Raw genomic sequence first — 19,617 nt, 5'->3', positions numbered from 1 at the left:
GGGACAAGAGATGAGGGTGCTAGAAGGAGAATGTACGCCTAATCCAAGGAGAGCTGCGGTACAGGGTAGAAGGAGGGAAATGGTGCATTAGGCACTACGGTAGCTCAGTATGGAGGGCCCTGAGAGTGTGAAAGAGACACACCATGGTCATCCCAGCAGCTATTTTCAGCAGAACACCAAAGCTTTTAGTTTTCTTAAGTGGACCAATACAGACAGAACACTCTTACAAAGATCTTAGAAAATCTTCCTGGGCGAGAAGTGGTTATTACTTAATTTCAGCACTTCAAAGTCGTGTACAGAATATCATTTTTTTTTCCACCCAGGAGGAAAAAAAAACAAACAAAACTTTTTATATTTAGAAGGAATCTTCTTGACTATTTTAATTTATATAATTTTTGTGAGACTATAAAGTTGAGATCTTTCAGTTCAAACTGTATAGAATGCCCCAAGAAAGATATTAAGAAGACGCTTTAGGCATATGCAACTTTTCAGTTGCCTAGTAATCACTAAATATGTAGTTAACAGACAAATACTTCTAATTTTATTTGTTTTCCTTCTTTCATATAATTAGAATAATTCTTCCTTGAATTTAAGAATATTTTGGCTATCTAGTTACCATTATTTTAATTTTTTAAAGTTTTTTAATTGAAAACTTCTAGCACTTTGAGAGGCCAAAGCAGGCAGATCACGAGCCCAGGAGATCAAGACCATCCTGGCCAACATGGTAAATCACTGTCTCTACTAAAATACAAAAATTTAGCCAGATGTGGTGGCGCATGCCTGTAATCCCAGCTACTCAGGAGGCTGAGGCAGGGGAATCGCTTGAACCCAGGAGGCGGAGGTTGCAGTGAGCCGAGATTGTGCCACTGCACTACAGCCTGGTGACAGAGCAAGACTCCATCTCAAAAAAACAAAAACAAAAACAAAAACAAAACAAAACCCCCCAAAAATTGTGCTACTTTTTTGGCAATTTTTAAACTGTTTTTAACGTCATAAAATATACTTGACATAAAATTTACCATTTTAACCATTTTTTTATTTTCAATTTTTTGTGGGTACATAGTAGGTGTATGTATTTATGAGATACATGAGCTATTTTGATACAGGCATGCAATATATAATAATCACATCAGGGTATAAGGGGTATCTATTACTTCAAGCATTTATAATTTCTTTGTGTTACAAGCATTCTAATTATACTCTTTAAGTTATTTTAAAATGTACAGTAAATTATTGTTGACTGTAGTCACCCAAACGCTCTTCAATCAGCAGGTGGTGAATCCAGCCAGGCTTGTGTTCTTCCTTTTAGGATGGTATGCTCTTCTTCGGTGCAGGGCAGGACCAAAAATCTGGGAGCCAGGGCCTGGAGTTGGGAACCTTAGGAATGTATCTGGTGCACTATTCTACTGGGGCTGAGCTGGTACTCAAGCTACAAGACAAAGTCCTTTTCCCTCTTCCCTTCCTTTCCTAATGCAGAAGGAGTCTCTTCTTGTGCCACCACCACGCAGGTCTGTGGTGAGTACTGCCTGGCTACTGCCAATGTTTACTCAAAGCCCGTGGTCTCTTCACTCAGCTTGTGGTAAATACTGCCAGGCCTCTCCCTTCAGAGCAGTGGGCTCCCCTGTGGCCCAGGGCAGGTCCAGAAATGCTTTCCAGGAACCAAGGCCTGAAATCAAAGGCCCTAGGAGCCTCCTTGGTGCTCTACCTCAATCTGGTGACCAAGCTGCAAGACCAAGTTCCCTTTACTCTTCCCTCTCCTTGCCTTAAGCAAGACGAGTTTCTCCCTGTGGCCACCAGAACTGGGAATGTGCTGAGTGACACCTGAAGCCAGCATGGCTCAGGGTTCTACCCGAGGCTCATGGCATGTACTCTCTGGGTACTGCTGATATTTTTCAAAGCTCATAGGCTCTTTAGTCAGCATATGATGAATCCTGCCAGAACTAGACCCTTTCCTTCAAGGCAGTAGTTTCCTATCCGGCTCAGGGTATGTCTAGAAATGTCATCTGAGGTCTAGGGCCTGGAATCAGCCTTAGGACTCTGCCTGGCATCAAATTTTACAGTGGCTGAGCTGGTATCCGCATTGCAAAACAAAGTCCTCTTTACTCTCCCCTCTAGTGTCCTCAAGCAGGAAGAAGGAGTCTCTCCCAGAGTTGTGTGCTGTTCTACCTGGGGTTCCAGAAGGGATGATGCAAGCACTCCCTTGGCTGCCCCAGCTAGTGACTTACTACTGGGTCATGTGCTCAAGTCCACTAGCTCTGAGTCCAGCACAGCACTGGGACTTGCCCAGGAATTGCAGTCCTTGTGGCCTAGACTGCCTTTCACGTTTATTTAGTTCCTTAGAGCACTTTAGCTCACGGTGGTGGGGCTAGCCAAAATTCAAATTCTAACTGCTGGAATGGGTGACTCCCCTCTGGCTAGGGCTAGTCTAAATGCTCCCTTTGTGGTGCTGGCTGAATTCTGCTGTGTTGCTTTCTGCTGTGACAGACAGCACTTGAGTCCCAGTGGAAAGTCCACAATCACCAATCACTGTGCTCCCCCACCATCAAGCACAGAGATTCTGTCTTTGCCAGGTAGCTACTGCCAGGGCTTGGGGAGGGGTGGTCTCAGCAATTCAAGACTGTCTTTCCTTTGCTTTTCAGTGTCTGTTTCCTTGATATGTTGTTAAAATCAGGTACTGTGATTGCTCACCTGATTTTTAGTTCGTATGAAGGTGCTTTCTTGTGTGGACAGTCGTTTAATTTGGTGTTCCTCCGTGGGAGACAATGATCACTGGAGCAATTTAATCAGCCATCTTACTCCACTTCCTCCTCCATTTTACTATTTTTAAATTCACAATTCAGCGACAATATTTATATTCACAATGTTGTGCAATGATCAGCATCATCTATTTCCATAACGTTTTCATCACCCCAAGCAGAAACTCTAAACATTAAGCACTAACTTCCCATTCTCCACTCTCTGGAGTTTCTGTTAACCTTTAATCTACCTTATGTTTCTATAAATTTTCCCATATGGGATATTTGACACCAAAAGTATGAACAACTAAAGAAAAATTAAGGTAGACTTCATCAATATTAATAACTTTTGTGTATCAAAGGACATTATCAAAGAATGAAAAGACAAACTATAGAACAAAATAATATATTTTGAAATTATATATCCGATGAGGGTTTAGTATCCAAAATATATAAAGAACTCCTACAACTCAACAACAAAAAGACAAATAATCAAATGAAAAAATGGGCAAAATACTTGAATAGACATTTCTCCAACAAAGATGTATGAATGGCCAATAAGCAAATGAAAAGATTTTGGTCATTTGGGAAACATAAGGAGATAGCACTTCACACCTACTAGGATAGCTACATCAACAAAAATGGAAAATAACAAGTGTTGGTGAGAATGTGGAAAAAGTGGATCCCTAGAACTTTGCTGGTGGAAATGTAAAATGATATAGCAACTGCAGAAAACAGTTTGGCAGCTCCTTAAAAGGCAAAACATGGAATTACCATACAACCCAGCAATTCTACTCCTCAGAATATACCAGAAGAATTAAAAGGGGAACTCAAACAGATACGTGTATGCAAAAGTTGATTGCAGAATTATTTGCAATAACCAAAAGATAGAAACAACTCAAGTGTCCATCAATAGATAGATGGATAATCCAAATGTAGTACATACATACAATGAATTTAGCCATAAAAAGTAAAGGTCTGGGCCGGGCGCGGTGGCTCACGCCTGTAATCCCAGCACTTTGGGAGGCCGAGGCGGGCGGATCACGAGGTCAGGAGATCGAGACCATCCTGGCTAACACGGTGAAACCCCGTCTCTACTAAAAATACAAAAAATTAGCCGGGCGAGGTGGCGGGCGCCTGTAGTCCCAGCTACTCGGGAGGCTGAGGCAGGAGAATGGCGTGAACCCCAGGGGGCGGAGCCTGCAGTGAGCCGAGATTGCGCCACTGCACTCCAGCCTGGGCGACAGCGAGACTCCGTCTCAAAAAAAAAAAAAAAAAAAAAAAAAAGTAAAGGTCTGATAGATGCTACAACATGGCTGAATTTTGAAAACACTGTACCAAGTATAAGAAGCCAGACACAGAAGGACTTATTTTATAATCTTGCAGTTTTACACTATTTCCATTGTATCATCATTTCATAAAATAATATTTATTACAGAGAATAGCAAATGTTGTGTGATAATGTATATTATATCCTACCACACTTAAAACACACACACATAAACATACATAGGTATACTGAAGTACTCCATATATCAAACTTTAATAAAATGGAGTTTCTGTAGAGATGATATATAATTTTAAGAAAAAACAGTGACCATTTTTGGTGCTATTATTTTACAAAAGAGATTATTTCAAGGGGAAATAGAAAGTTTGGGAAACTTGACAAAATTATCTAAGAAAGAACTATGACCTTAGCATGAAGGTTCATATTCAGTTTATACATTTACATGTTTTGCTTGATAACATGCAGTATTAATATGTCACTGAAATTTTATTTTTCTCACACATCGAATCTTGTCAGGAAAATATAAACAAAAGGGCACTCAGATTTTAGAATCTCTCTTAAGTTTCTTTTACTAAACAAAAACTAAGTATTAAATATTGTGATGTGAATGTAGAATGGATATTTTTTCTATAATAAATGATTTAAGTATCAATTAGTATATTTATAGAGTTTTTCTCACTTAGCACAAACCTTAAAATCAAGTATAAAAGTCACATCCTATAATTATATTGAAGTTAATTAAAGTTAGGTCAAACCTGTGTATAATAAAGACTATTTTGCATTGCATTTTACCACCAAGAAAACTCTAGAATTCAGTATTTCTGATTTTTTCTCTAACTAAAAATCTCCAGTCGCAGAACCACAGCTGATGCCACAGATAAACAGAATTGATTCAAAAGCAGCCCAACAGGCAACGTAAAAACCATTTCTGCCGAACACATTCTTTCTACTTTGGGAATTCAAAGCCTAATCTTGTTACATTTGAATGTGTAACCCCTGTCCTGTCACATTCTGATAAGCATCTTTTAGTGCTGGAAGAGCAATTTTCTCTTTAGCTTTAAAAACTCCTGTCTTTACTATAAATAGCAAGTGATTTATTGTCAACTTGCAAAGTTTATTTTTGAATTAACATTTATTTTCATCCGTATGAATATTTTTGGCTTTTGGAAAGATATTGAAATTTGTTGTTTGGATTTGCACATGTGGTCTTGCTCTTGTTTACCTCACTCACACTTCCGACAATAATTTCCTTTACTTATGTGTCGTCCTTCAAAAGGATCCTGCCTTGGACTTTCTATTGGGAATTATTTGGAGCTATGCTCTTGAGAGATAAGGTAAAAAAGTGACCTCAGGTAGACTGTCCAGACACAATATGGATTAATTCTTTATCAATGGAATATTTTAATTATCTTTTGATGCACAAAACATTTTTGGAATATCTGTGTTGCTTATATAATCATGTCGCATTAACTTCTCAAACACTAAGTAAAACTTTTGAATATAAATCAAAATAAAAATTTCAGTTGCACTTAAAGTACAAATCTTGGCCATGGATAAATACAATTCTCAAATGTATCCATAGCTACCACCATTTTAACTTCCCTTTTTTTTTTTTTTATTATACTTTAAGTTTTAGGGTACATGTGCACATTGTGCAGGTTAGTTACATATGTATACATGTGCCATGCTGGTGCACTGCACCCACTAACTCGTCATCTAGCATTAGGTTTATCTCCCAATGCTATCCCTCCCCCCTGCCCCCACCCCACAACAGTCCCCAGAGTGTGATATTCCCCTTCCTGTGTCCATGTGATCTCATTGTTCAGTCCCCACCTATGAGTGAGAATATGTGGTGTTTGGTTTTTTGTTCTTGCGATAGTTTACTGAGAATGATGTTTTCCAATTTCATCCATGTCCCTACAAAGGACATGAATTCATCATTTTTTATGGCTGCATAGTATTCCATGGTGTATATGTGCCACATTTTCTTAATCCAGTCTATCACTGTTGGACATTTGGGTTGGTTCCAAGTCTTTGCTATTCTGAATAATGCCGCAATAAACATACGTGTGCATGTGTCTTTATAGCAGCATGATTTACAGTCCTTTGGGTATATACCCAGTAATGGGATGGCTGGGTCAAATGGTATTTCCAGTTCTAGATCCCTGAGGAATCGCCACACTGACTTCCACAATGGTTGAACTAGTTTACAGTCCCACCAACAGTGTCAGTGTTCCTATTTCTCCACATCCTCTCCAGCAGCTGTTGTTTCCTGACTTTTTAATGATTGCCATTCTAACTGGTGTGAGATGGTATCTCATTGTGGTTTTGATTTGCATTTCTCTGATGGCCAGTGATGATGAGCATTTTTTCATGTGTTTTTTGGCTGCATAAATGTCTTCTTTTGAGAAGTGTCTCTTCATGTCCTTCGCCCACTTTTTGATGGGGTTGTTTGTTTTTTTCTTGTAAATTTGTTTGAGTTCATTGTAGATTCTGGATATTAGCCCTTTGTCAGATGAGTAGGTTACGAAAATTTTCTCCCATTTTGTAGGTTGCCTGTTCACTCTGATGGTAGTTTCTTTTGCTGTGCAGAAGCTCTTTAGTTTAATTAGATCCCATTTGTCAATTTTGTCTTTTGTTGCCATTGCTTTTGGTGTTTTGGACATGAAGTCCTTGCCCATGCCTATGTCCTGAATGGTAATGCCTAGGTTTTCTTCTAGGGTTTTTATGGTTTTAGGTCTAACGTTTAAGTCTTTAATCCATCTTGAATTGATTTTTGTATAAGGTGTAAGGAAGGGATCCAGTTTCAGCTTTCTACATATGGCTAGCCAGTTTTCCCAGCACCATTTATTAAATAGGGAATCCTTTCCCCATTGCTTGTTTTTCTCAGGTTTGTCAAAGATCAGATAGTTGTAGATATGTGGCATTATTTCTGAGGGCTCTGTTCTGTTCCATTGGTCTATATCTCTGTTTTGGTACCAGTACCATGCTGTTTTGGTTACCGTAGCCTTGTAGTATAGTCTGAAGTCAGGTAGTGTGATGCCTCCAGCTTTGTTCTTTTGGCTTAGGATTGACCTGGTGATGCGGACTTTTTTTTGGTTCCATATGAACTTTAGTTTTTTCCAATTCTGTGAAGAAAGGCATTGGTAGCTTGATGGGGATGGCAGTGAATCTGTAAATTACCTTGGGCAGTATGGCCATTTTCACGATATTGATTCTTCCTACCCATGAGCATGGAATGTTCTTCCATTTGTTTGTATCCTCTTTTATTTCCTTGAGCAGTAGTTTGTAGTTCTCCTTGAAGAGGTCCTTCACATCCCTTGTAAGTTGGATTCCTAGGTATTTTATTCTCTTTGAAGCAATTGTGAATGGGAGTTCACTCATGATTTGGCTCTCTGTTTGTCTGTTGCTGGTGTATAAGAATGCTTGTGATTTTTGTACATTGATTTTGTATCCTGAGACTTTGCTGAAGTTGCTTATCAGCTTAAGGAGATTTTGGGCTGAGACAATGGGGTTTTCTAGATATACAATCATGTCATCTGCAAACAGGGACAATTTGACTTCCTCTTTTCCTAATTGAATACCCTTTATTTCCTTCTCCTGCCTAATTGCCCTGGCCAGAACTTCCAACACTATGTTGAATAGGAGTGGTGAGAGAGGGCAGCCCTGTCTTGTGCCAGTTTTCAAAGGGAATGCTTCCAGTTTTTGCCCATTCAGTATGATATTGGCTGTGGGTTTGTCATAGATAGCTCTCATTATTTTGAGATACGTCCCATCAATACCTAATTTATTGAGAGTTTTTAGCATGAAGGGTTGTTGAATTTTGTCAAAGGCTTTTTCTGCATCTATTGAGTTAATCATGTGGTTTTTGTCTTTGGCTCTGTTTATATGCTGGATTACATTTATTGATTTGCATATATTGAACCAGCCTTGCATCCCAGGGATGAAGCCCACTTGATCATGGTGGATAAGCTTTTTGATGTGCTGCTGGATTCGTTTTGCCAGTATTTTATTGAGGATTTCTGCATCAATGTTCATCAAGGATATTGGTCTAAAATTCTCTTTTTTTGTTGTGTCTCTGCCTGGCTTTGGTATCAGAATGATGCTGGCCTCATAAAATGAGTTAGGGAGGATTCCCTCTTTTTCTATTGATTGGAATAGTTTCAGAAGGAATGGTACCAGTTCCTTCTTGTACCTCTGGTAGAATTCAGCTGTGAATCCACCTGGTCCTGGACTCTTTTTGGTTGGTAAGCTATTGATTATTGCCACAATTTCAGATCCTGCTATTGGTCTATTCAGAGATTCAACTTCTTCCTGGTTTAGTCTTGGGAGGGTGTATGTGTCAAGGAATATATCCATTTCTTCTAGATTTTCTAGTTTATTTGCTAGAGGTGTTTGTAGTATTCTCTGATGGTAGTTTGTATTTCTGTGGGATCGGTGGTGATATCCCCTTTATCATTTTTTATTGTGTCTATTCGATCCTTCTCTCTCTTTTTCTTTATTAGTCTTGCTAGTGGTCTATCAATCTTGTTGATCCTTTCAAAAAACCAGCTCCTGGATTCATTAATTTTTTGAAGGGTTTTTTGTGTCTCTATTTCCTTCAGTTCTGCTCTGATTTTAGTTATTTCTTGCCTTCTGCTAGCTTTTGAATGTGTTTGCTCTTGCTTTTCTAGTTCTTTTAATTGTGATGTTAGGGTGTCAATTTTGGATCTTTCCTGCTTTCTCTTGTGGGCATTTAGTGCTATAAATTTCCCTCTACACACTGCTTTGAATGTGTCCCAGAGATTCTGGTATGTTGTGTCTTTGTTCTCGTTGGTTTCAAAGACCATCTTTATTTCTGCCTTCATTTCGTTATGTACCCAGTAGTCATTCAGGAGCAGGTTGTTCAGTTTCCATGTAGTTGAGCGGTTTTGAGTGAGATTCTTAATCCTGAGTTCTAGTTTGATTGCACTGTGGTCTGAGAGACAGTTTGTTTTAATTTCTGTTCTTTTACATTTGCTGAGGAGAGCTTTACTTCCCAGTATGTGGTCAATTTTGGAATAGGTGTGGTGTGGTGCTGAAAAAAATGTATATTCTGTTGATTTGGGGTGGAGAGTTCTGTAGATGTCTATTAGGTCCACTTGGTGCAGAGCTGAGTTCAATTCCTGGGTATCCTTGTTGACTTTCTGTCTCGTTGATCTGTCTAATGTTGACAGTGGGGCATTAAAGTCTCCCATTATTAATGTGTGGGAGTCTAAGTCTCTTTGTAGGTCACTCAGGACTTGCTTTATGAATCTGGGTGCTCCTGTATTGGATGCATATATATTTAGGAGAGTTAGCTCTTCTTGTTGCATTGATCCCTTTACCATTATGTAATGGCCTTCTTTGTCTCTTTTGGTCTTTGTTGGTTTAAAGTCTGTTTTATCAGAGACTAGTATTGCAACCCCTGCCTTTTTTTGTTTTCCATTTGCTTGGTAGATCTTCCTCCATCCTTTTATTTTGAGCCTATGTGTGTGTCTGCACGTGAGATGGGTTTCCTGAATACAGCACACTGATGGGTCTTGACTCTTTATCCAATTTGCCAGTCTGTGTCTTTTAATTGGAGCATTTAGTCCATTTACATTTAAAGTTAATATTGTTATGTGTGAATTTGATCCTGTCATTATGATGTTAGCTGGTTATTTTGCTCGTTAGTTGATGCAGTTTCTTCCTAGTCTTGATGGTCTTTACATTTTGGCATGATTTTGCAGCGGCTGGTACCGGTTGTTCCTTTCCATGTTTAGCGCTTCCTTCAGGAGCTCTTTTAGGGCAGGCCTGGTGGTGACAAAATCTCTCAGCATTTGCTTGTCTGTAAAGTATTTTATTTCTCCTTCGCTTATGAAGCTTAGTTTGGCTGGATATGAAATTCTGGGTTGAAAATTCTTGTCTTTAAGAATGTTGAATATTGGCCCCCACTCTCTTCTGGCTTGTAGGGTTTCTGCCGAGAGATCCGCTGTTAGTCTGATGGGCTTCCCTTTGAGGGTAACCCGACCTTTCTCTCTGGCTGCCCTTAACATTTTTTCCTTCATTTCAACTTTGGTGAATCTGACAATTATGTGTCTTGGAGTTGCTCTTCTCGAGGAGTATCTTTGTGGCGTTCTCTGTATTTCCTGAATCTGAACGTTGGCCTGCCTTGCTAGATTGGGGAAGTTCTCCTGGATAATATCCTGCAGAGTGTTTTCCAACTTGGTTGCATTCTCCCCATCACTTTCAGGTACACCAATCAGACGTAGATTTGGTCTTTTCACATAGTCCCATATTTCTTGGAGGCTTTGCTCATTTCTTTTTATTCTTTTTTCTCTAAACTTCCCTTCTCGCTTCATTTCATTCATTTCATCTTCCATCACTGATACCCTTTCTTCCAGTTGATCACATCGGCTCCTGAGGCTTCTGCATTCTTCACGTAGTTCTCGAGCCTTGGTTTTCAGCTCCATCAGCTCCTTTAAGCACTTCTCTGTATTGGTTATTCTAGTTATACATTCTTCTAAATTTTTTTCAAAGTTTTCAACTTCTTTGCCTTTGGTTTGAATGTCCTCCCGTAGCTCAGAGTAATTTGATCGTCTGAAGCCTTCTTCTCTCAGTTCCTCAAAGTCATTCTCCATCCAGCTTTGTTCCGTTGCTGGTGAGGAACTGCGTTCCTTTGGACGAGGAGAGGTGCTCTGGTTTTTAGAGTTTCCAGTTTTTCTGCTCTGTTTTTTCCCCATCTTTGTGGTTTTATCTACTTTTGGTCTTTGATGATGGTGATGTACAGATGGGTTTTTGGTGTGGATGTCCTTTCTGTTTGTTAGTTTTCCTTCTAACAGACAGGACCCTCAGCTGCAGGTCTGTTGGAATACCCTGCCATGTGAGGTGTCAGTGTGCCCCTGCTGGGGGGTGCCTCCCAGTTAGGCTGCTCGGGGGTCAGGGGTCAGGGACTCACTTGAGTAGGCAGTCTGCCCATTCTCAGATCTCCAGCTGCGTGCTGGGAGAACCACTGCTCTCTTCAAAGCTGTCAGACAGAGACATTTAAGTCTGCAGAGGTTACTGCTCTCTTTTTGTTTGTCTGTGCCCTGCCCCCAGAGGTGGAGCCTACAGAGGCAGGCAGGCCTCCTTGAGCTGTGGTGGGCTCCGCCCAGTTGGAGCTTCCTGGCTGCTTTGTTTACCTAATCAAGCCTGGGCAATGGCAGGCGCCCCTCCCTCAGCCTCCCTGCTGCCTTGCAGTTTGATCTCAGACTGCTGTGCTAGCAATCAGCGAGATTCCGTGAGCGTAGGACCCTCCAAGCCAGGTGCAGGATATAATCTCGTGGTGCGCCGTTTTTTAAGCCCGTCGGAAAAGCGCAGTATTCGGGTGGGAGTGACCCAATTTTCCAGGTGCCGTCCGTCACCCCTTTCTTTGACTCGGAAAGGGAACTCCCTGACCCCTTGCGCTTCCCAAGTGAGGCAATGCCTCGCCCTGCTTTGGCTGGCGCACGGTGCGCGCAACCACTGACCTGCGCCCACTGTCTGGCACTCCCTAGTGAGATGAACCCGTTACCTCAGATGGAAATGCAGAAATCACCGTCTTCTGCGTCACTCAGGCTGGGAGCTGTAGACTGGAGCTGTTCCTATTCGGCCATCTTGGCTCCTCCCCCTCTTAACTTCCCATTCTTATACCCATACCATATTCACATAATTCCTGAAAGAGTAAGTGCCCAATCAATTTGAGTTGAATGAATGAGATTCAAGATTTGTGATATCACTTTGATTATTGTCCATTTTAAGGGAAAACTCTTGTGCCTCATTCCTCATATTTCTGTAGGAACTTCTACTAGAAGAAGAATTTACCTTCTTACAAGAAAGAATTTACCTCCTTTATGACTTTAGAAGAAGGAACTGGACATGTTAGTGTCAGCTACTTCTTCTTTCTCCTTTTAATTGTAATTTCCTGCCGAAGTTTACACAGGCTTATGATCTTGCCTGTTGCTGTTAGGAGCCTGTCCCTTTAGGGCAAGGCCTATCCTCATCTAGCTGTATCAATAATTGGAGGGGTAGAGTAAATCTGCTAATTCACAGGAAATGCTCACCTGCCTCAGTTATAAGGCCAATTTATTAGTAATAAAGATGGTATTTTGGGTTTTTATCTCTCTGGTTCTTGAATATATCTCTCATTTGTTCCTGAAGTCACATGCAACGTGGATATGTTGCTATGGGTTTTCTAAAACTCTAGTGATTTATAGACTACATAAGAGCTAGAAAGGCTTCTCATATGTTTGATGGTATTCAGGAAGTCATTCTCAGGTTCCTTTCTACAATGAAAAATATCCAGTTCAGTCTCTCCTTAGCAACTCTTGAGGAAACTAGCATAGCCAGAAAAATAATTTGATGCAATAAACCAGATGAAGAAATAAGTCTTTGATTACATTAGCATAAAATACAATCTCTCGAAGTCTTTAAAACACAGATTGGTGAGCCTTCTCTCCAAAGTTTCTGATTCAGCAGGTGTGAGGTGGAGCTGAGAATTTGTATTTCTAATAACTTCTCAGGTGATGCCATGCTTCTGGTTCAGAAACCACATTTTGAGGGCCATTGCCCTAGACCAGTGATTCTTAGACCTTCTTGGTGGCAACTTAAAATTAGCTGAGGAACTTCTTTAAAAATATCAATGCTTGAGCTCTCCTCCAACATATGTGGTTTTCCTTTGGAAGGGGTTCAACTATTAGTAGTCGCTTTTTATTTTTTTTCTCCTTTTTTAAATTTTTTATTTCAATCGGTTTTGGGGAGTAGGTGGTGTTTGGTTAGATGAAAAGTTCTTTAGTGGTGCTTTCTGAAATTTTGGTGCACCCATCACCCGAGCACTGTACACTGTACCCAATGTATAGTCTTATTCCTCACCCACCTCCTATCCTTTCCCCTGAGTCCCCAAAGTCCATTGTATCATTCTTATGCCTCTGGGTTCTCATAGCTTAGTTTCCACTTATGAGAGAGAAGATATGATGTTTGGTTTTCCATACTTGAGTTATTTCACTTAGAATAATGGTCTCTGATTACATCCAGGTTGCTGCAAATGACATTATTTCATTCCTTTTTATGGCTGAGTAGTATTCCATGGGGTGTGTGTGTGTGTATATATATATATATATATATGGTTTCAGGTATTAAATTTATGTCTTTTTTCCATCTTGAGTTGATTTTTGTATAGGTTGAGAGGTGAGGATCCAGCTTCATTCTCCTACATGTTGCTTGCCAATTATCTCAGCACCATTTGTTGAATAGGGTGTCCTTTCCCCACTTTATGTTTTTGTTTGCTTTGTCAAAGATCAGTTGACTGTAAGTATTTGGCTTTATTCCTTGGTTCCCTATTCTGTTCCATTGGTCTATGTGCCTATTTTTATACCAGTACCATGCTGTTTTGGTGACTATGGCCTTATAGTATAGTTTTTAGTTTTAGGTAACGTGATGCCTCCAAATTGTTCTTTTTGCATAGTCTTGCTTTCATTATGCAGGCTCTTGTTTGATTCCATATGAATTTTAGGATTGTTTTTTTCTAGTTCTGTGAAGAATGATGGTGGTATTTTAATGGGTATTGCATGGAATTTGTAGATTGCTTTTACAGTATGGTCATTTTTACAATATTGATTCTACCCATCCATGAACATGGAATGTGTTTCTATTTGTCTGTGTCATCTATGATTTCTTTCAGCAGTGTTTCACAGTTTTCCTTGTAGAGGTCTTTCATCTCCTTGGCTAGGTATATTTCTAAGCATTTTATTTTTTATCTTTGCAGCTCTTGTAAAAAGGGTTGTGTTCTTATCAACTTAATCGCTGTTGGTGTATAGCAGTGCTACTGATTTGTGTAGATGGATTTTGTATCCTGAAACGTTGCTGAATTCATTTATCAGTTCTAGGAACTTTTTGGAGGAGTTTGGAGGAGTCTTGAGGGTCTTCTAGGTATATGGTCATATCATCAGCAAACAGTGACAGTTTGACTTCCTCCTTACCGATTTGGATGCCCTTTATTTCTTTCTCTTGTCTGATCGCTCTGAGTAGGACTTCTGGTACTATGTTGAATAGAAGTGGTGAAAGTATGTATCCTTGTCTTGTTCCAGTTCTCAGTGGGAATGCTTCTAACTTTTCCCCATTCAGCATAATGTTGGCTGTGGATTTGTCATAGATGGGTTTTATTACGTTAAGCTATGTCCCTTCTATGTCAATTTTGCTGAGGATTTTAATCATAAAGCGATGCTGGATTTTGTCAAATGCTTTTTCTGCATCTTTTGAGGTGATCATGTAATTTTCATTTTTAATCCTCTTTATGTGATGTATCACATTTATTGACTTGTGGATGTCAAACCATACCTACATCCCTGGTATGAAACCCACTTGATCATGGTGAATTATCTTTTTGATATGCTGTTGGATTCAGTTAGCTAGTATTTTGTTGGGGATTTTTGCATCTATGTTAATCAGAGATACTGGTCTGTAGTTTTTTTCGTTATGTCCTTTCCTGGTTTTGGCATTAGGGTGATAGTGGTTAAAAGCTCCCTCTGGTGAGTGAAATGTGCAACAAGAGTTGTGAATTACAACCACATACTAAGTTTAGTAAATCAGTTATTGTGTAGTAATTAAATGCAATGCAGGGTTGCTTTTGTTTGTGCCTCAAAGTGTTCTTGCCATGGTGGAGCATTCCATCATTCTACCTTGCTTATTCCATTCTCATTTGCCCACATCAAGTAAGTTGATTTGTTTTACTATTATATCTCCTCTTTTTTTTTTTTTTTTTTTTTAGGTTACAGTTGGGAATATTACACTGAGTGGGATGCATGGTAATAAATGATTGGCAAGCCGATCTTATCAGTAATTAAATATGTGTAATTCAATAAGGATCATGGAATTTGTCTTTGTGCTGCATGAAAAAGATGCAAAATAAAGCACCATGTTTTGCGAGAGAGAAAATCTTAAATAAAAGATGACATTTTATAACCAATTACAAAGCATATCTTTGTATTTATAATTCATCAAAGTACTATTGGAGCATAGAGCCATAAAGGAATAAAAAATAAAACTCTTCAGAATAAAGCCTAGGTATTAGCCCAGGTACAAATAAAAACATTAATTAATAGGTATTTTTTTGCCAAAGCAACAGGAAGCAATGCTTTTAAGACTCAAAATGTGCAAGCTTGTGTGTTCATGCTATTTTAAACAAAGATCTGAATTAATAGTATGTTCCACCCAATCTTGAAGAGGCTTAACTTATTTAATAAACAAATTTATTTTTAAATTTATAAAACAAGCTTTCTTACTTTTTTATAATGATAGAAAAATAGCAATTATTTTAAATGACTATTTAAGTAAGAACTGTAAGAGAACAATAGCATATTCCTAAAGCTTATTCATAGTTTTGTATTCTGCCAGAGTGCAAATTTTCTGGATGAATAGAAAAAATCGTGCAAGCTATTATAGTTTCCTCTATTTGAAATCCTTGTGCTCAAGAACTTAAGGACTTCTGTTCAAATCATAACTTACAGAAATGGATTCTGTAATGCACTATGCCTTCTTTTCTCAGCAAGCCATTGTGCAATGCTTGGTTTGACTTTATAACATTCCTGATTGACACAGGACACAAATAGTCAACTGAGGCAAACTTCTTTAAGGTGAAACCCAAGTGGAATGCAAGCCTTTGTCTTCTGTGGGCAGGATTCTGCAGAAATAAGTTCTCTGCTCTTGGAACTTCTTTCCTTACTTTTTTGAGGTCCTGTCACTTATGTGTTACAATTTGCATGCAACTTTCAAATTTAACAGATATCCTTTCCATTTTCTTAGATCACTCGTGATGAATAAAATTAAAATTGTATTCTTACCCTTGCTGACCAAGGCCACATTTTATTCAGAGAGCCTCAAATGGTCTGGGCTTCTTTGCCCTGGTAGTTCTCAACTAAAGTTCCTTCAAATTTAGTTTAAAGTTCATTTCCTCAACCAGCTTCAAAGGACTACTTCATTCAAATATCTGCTTTTGTGGAGATGATTCCCTTGCACAGCCTTGACCCTAATTAAATGGAGCCATATTCTTTACCTTCTTCCAGGAAAATGTTCTCTCATAGGAATAAACCAGGAAAATGTAAACTAATGAAAATATTCCAAGCTAAACAAAGGTACTAATAAAGGGCAGCCAGCCATAACACATGTACAAACTACCATAGGCTAGGATCTTCAGAAAATTACTTCAGTGGTAAGAGGTTAAGAGATAAGTGTAGTCATCTGAGTAACTAATGCTAATTGTCTGCTACTGGATGTGATCTCTGTTATCTATGAACCCTCATAATACTTGCCTTGAACCACCTCTTTGTAATTATATGATTTTGAATTAACTATGTAATCTCTCTAAAGCTTAGTTTTTTACCTGTAAAATGGGGCTAAAATAATCACAAAGGACTGGTCTGCTGATTAAGTAAGACAATCAGCATCAAACTTTCAGTGTTTACTGAAACTAATGGCATGGTTTCAAAGGAATTATTCATTTTATTCAAACTATTGGAGAAGTCACGTATCTAAAAGATGACACAGAAACTTTAATTGTCAAACCTAAGTGTGTTGATCTGATCTTGAAGGAAACATCCTAGAAATTTTGCAGACTGAGCTCTTTCTTCAAAGTAATCTACCCACAGCACAAATGATTTTACTACTTAAAATGTGACATATTCATAGTTTTATTTGTTTGCAAATGAGAAGTTATTATGGTACTACTAGTTATTTAAGTTTGTGCGTCTTACTTGGGAGCAGCAGGCATTTCCGTGTGCGCACTTATGCATTTGTTGTCTTTTTGGTTTTGGGAAATATACAAGGAGGACTTTGGGGTGATAGTTTAGTTCTCAAGATGATAACCATATTGAGAATCAAACTATCACCCCGAAGTCCTCCTTGTACCCAAATGAGTGACAGGCTTTACTTCTCAAGATGATAACCCTATTGAGAACCAAACTGTCACCCCAAAGTCCTCCTTGTACCCAAATGAGTAACAGGCTTTACTTAGTAAGACAGGATGGTTGTGGTGGAGGACAGAGGAAGTGTTACATCTTGAGGGGAAAAAATCAAAATTGGGCCAAAGTAATGTCACTATCTCTCTCCCAGGCCTCAGAGAAGAATAGATGGGCTACCAGGTAGCATAAGCTAGGATTTTATGATGTGGAGTTTGGGAATGTCTGGTTTTAAGTTAGGATTTTACAATGTGGAGTTTGTGAATGTCTGGCTTCAATACTCTATAAAGGTATGTATACAAGGAATACTCTTTTATAAAAACTGGTAACACAAAGTAGTTGCCACTAAAAGTTGGACTCACTGACAGTGTTATACCTTTGTCCTCATTTTTTTCTTGCTGAAAGTAGTAATAGCTAACACTTACAACAAATAGATTTTTAAATTTGTTCCTTGCATCCACCCTGACAGGTACTTCTATCAGACTTATTTTATAGAGACAGAAAGTGAATATAAGAGGCAAAATATTCTGCTCAAGATTACACAGCTAGTGGCTTACATGAGATTTACACCTACATATGTGCAACTCCAGAGTTCTAAGAACACCAGATACTAACTCAGTTCTTCCCATCTTGTGTGCTCAGCCACTACCTTAGTTTGACCAAAATGGTATCCAAATGAATAATTTAAAGGTAAATGTATTCAAAGCTCTAAATTTCCCTCTAACTACAGCTTAGCTGTGTCCCACAAATTTACCATACAGAAGTTTACTTACTGTTCAGCTTTAAATAATTCTTAATTTCCCTTTAAATGCAATGATTATTCAGTGAGCTATTATTCAGTTTCTATGTATTGGATTTTTGTTATTAATATCTAATTTTACTGAAATATAAACAAAAACAATATACATGATTTTTATATTTTAGAATGTATTGAGTTTTTAATGACCTGATATTGTCTAAAATTTTAATATGAAATTACTGAGGACATACTTCTCATTTTCCTTTGTATTAGCTTTTTCTTTTCCCTGAGACCACAGTAAGCTGACCAAGTCTTTGATTATTTTACTTTCCATAGTCTTTTGTAGCAACTCAAATTGCAAAACTTGTTTCTTTCTCCAAAAGCATATTCAGTGTGGGTCTTTGTACACTAAAACTTCTGAGGCTGTCATTTCTAACTCTATTGTCTAATCTTTTACACTTCATACATTTCTCTTACATTTTCTTTTTCTTTGCTGCTGCTTTCTGGGAAATTCTTCTGTCTGATAGTTTTATATTCTTCAGTTAGTATAAATCTTTTGATTTGTTCCACTTGTTTCCTAGGATAGAGGGTCCCAGGATGACAGAGCCCTTGTTCATTGTACCTATTTTCAACCACCTCTCCAGGCATAGTATCCTCAAATTTTCTTGTTTTTTTCTTTTCAAAACAGCAGCCCAGGGAGAAGGCAGTCCCTTGAGATTTGTAATTCATCAGGCCTAAGGTTAAAAGAAGACAGTGGAAGAATCAATGCCAGAAGGTGGCCACTCGGTCCGTATCTATTTTCTTCTACTTCTCCCATGAGCAGGGCATTTCTATTTCTCTAGGATATCATGTAAAGGTCCTTGTAGTCTGACTGTTTCTGTCAATATTTGAGGTGAAGGGGACGGCATTGTTTGTCCAAAGACAACGATGGCATGGAGGACGGATGCTAGAGCATAAATTAAAACTCTTTTCTTCTACTCTTGCCTGTGGTTACCTTTCATCTCGCGCCTTAGCCTTTGCATCTCACAAACATATCAGATCAAGGCAGCTTTGATTCTTTCCATGCATGTTATAATTTTTATTTTATTATTTTATCTTGCTAGTAAACTCCAAGATTCTTTTTTACTGCTATAGTTAAGAGTTGACGTTGCAGGATGAAGTTAGAAGCTGGGCTATTTTGCCAACTTAAGAATCCTTAAACTTCTATATTAGTAACTGCCTTAATTTCCCAATCTCTTTGGACAAACTGGATCCTTCCTGCTCATCAGGCTATGTGTACCCACATGCACAATTGTATACACAGATCACGGAACCAGAGTCCCACCTTCAAATCCCAGACATGAGCTTCGATTTCCATTGTTAGCTAATGGCTTTGTGCATCTACCTGCTTGGATATTTGAATGTAACTGGTGTATTAGTTGTAATCCAGTCAGGAAATTTTTTCTTTTAATATAAGGAATTGGTTACAGAAGTATTGGAGGGCTTTAAAACTAAAAAATATGGTCAAAGTAACAGAGAGATAGCAACTCTATCTAAGGAATAGCTACCACAGCTTAAACTGGGGGAACAAAAGAATAAGATTGGGGTTACCAGAACATAGAATATTGGAGAAGGAGCACTCTGGAGCACATCCTATGGCTTCTGAAAAGGGAGTATCCCAACTGGGCTGATACTCTTGAGGGGTAAAATGAGGTTGCTACTGAGGATATAGAAAAGAAATTGGAAACTGGACCAGATGTTGCAGCCATGGTGATGTATGTTAGGGAAAATAAACAGGAAAGAGCAACTTCCTTTTCTCTCCTCCACTTAACGGTGTTCCTCTGACCTCCCTACTGGCAGAGCTTAACAGGGAGCCAGCTGGATAGAGAAGTGTGCTTTGCACAGTGTCAGTTCCAGGATCACAAAGCA

General features: G+C 38.8%; 2 annotated features.

Annotated features, from left to right (window-relative positions):
* Positions 1,221-2,012: an enhancer, noted in NCBI's record as "H3K27ac hESC enhancer chr2:212093685-212094476 (GRCh37/hg19 assembly coordinates)". NCBI's record gives its function as "activates a minimal SCP1, AML or CMV promoter by ChIP-STARR-seq in primed H9 embryonic stem cells {active_cell/tissue: H9 hESC(primed)}" and the evidence as "EXISTENCE:reporter gene assay evidence [ECO:0000049][PMID:30033119]".
* Positions 2,013-2,804: an enhancer, noted in NCBI's record as "H3K27ac hESC enhancer chr2:212092893-212093684 (GRCh37/hg19 assembly coordinates)". NCBI's record gives its function as "activates a minimal SCP1, AML or CMV promoter by ChIP-STARR-seq in primed H9 embryonic stem cells {active_cell/tissue: H9 hESC(primed)}" and the evidence as "EXISTENCE:reporter gene assay evidence [ECO:0000049][PMID:30033119]".

Source organism: Homo sapiens, chromosome 2 (genome assembly GCF_000001405.40).
Source record: "Homo sapiens chromosome 2, GRCh38.p14 Primary Assembly".
Lineage (NCBI taxonomy): Eukaryota > Metazoa > Chordata > Mammalia > Primates > Hominidae > Homo > Homo sapiens.
The sequence above is the reverse complement of the archived record's forward strand: the minus strand, read 5'-3'. Positions and strand labels throughout refer to the sequence as shown.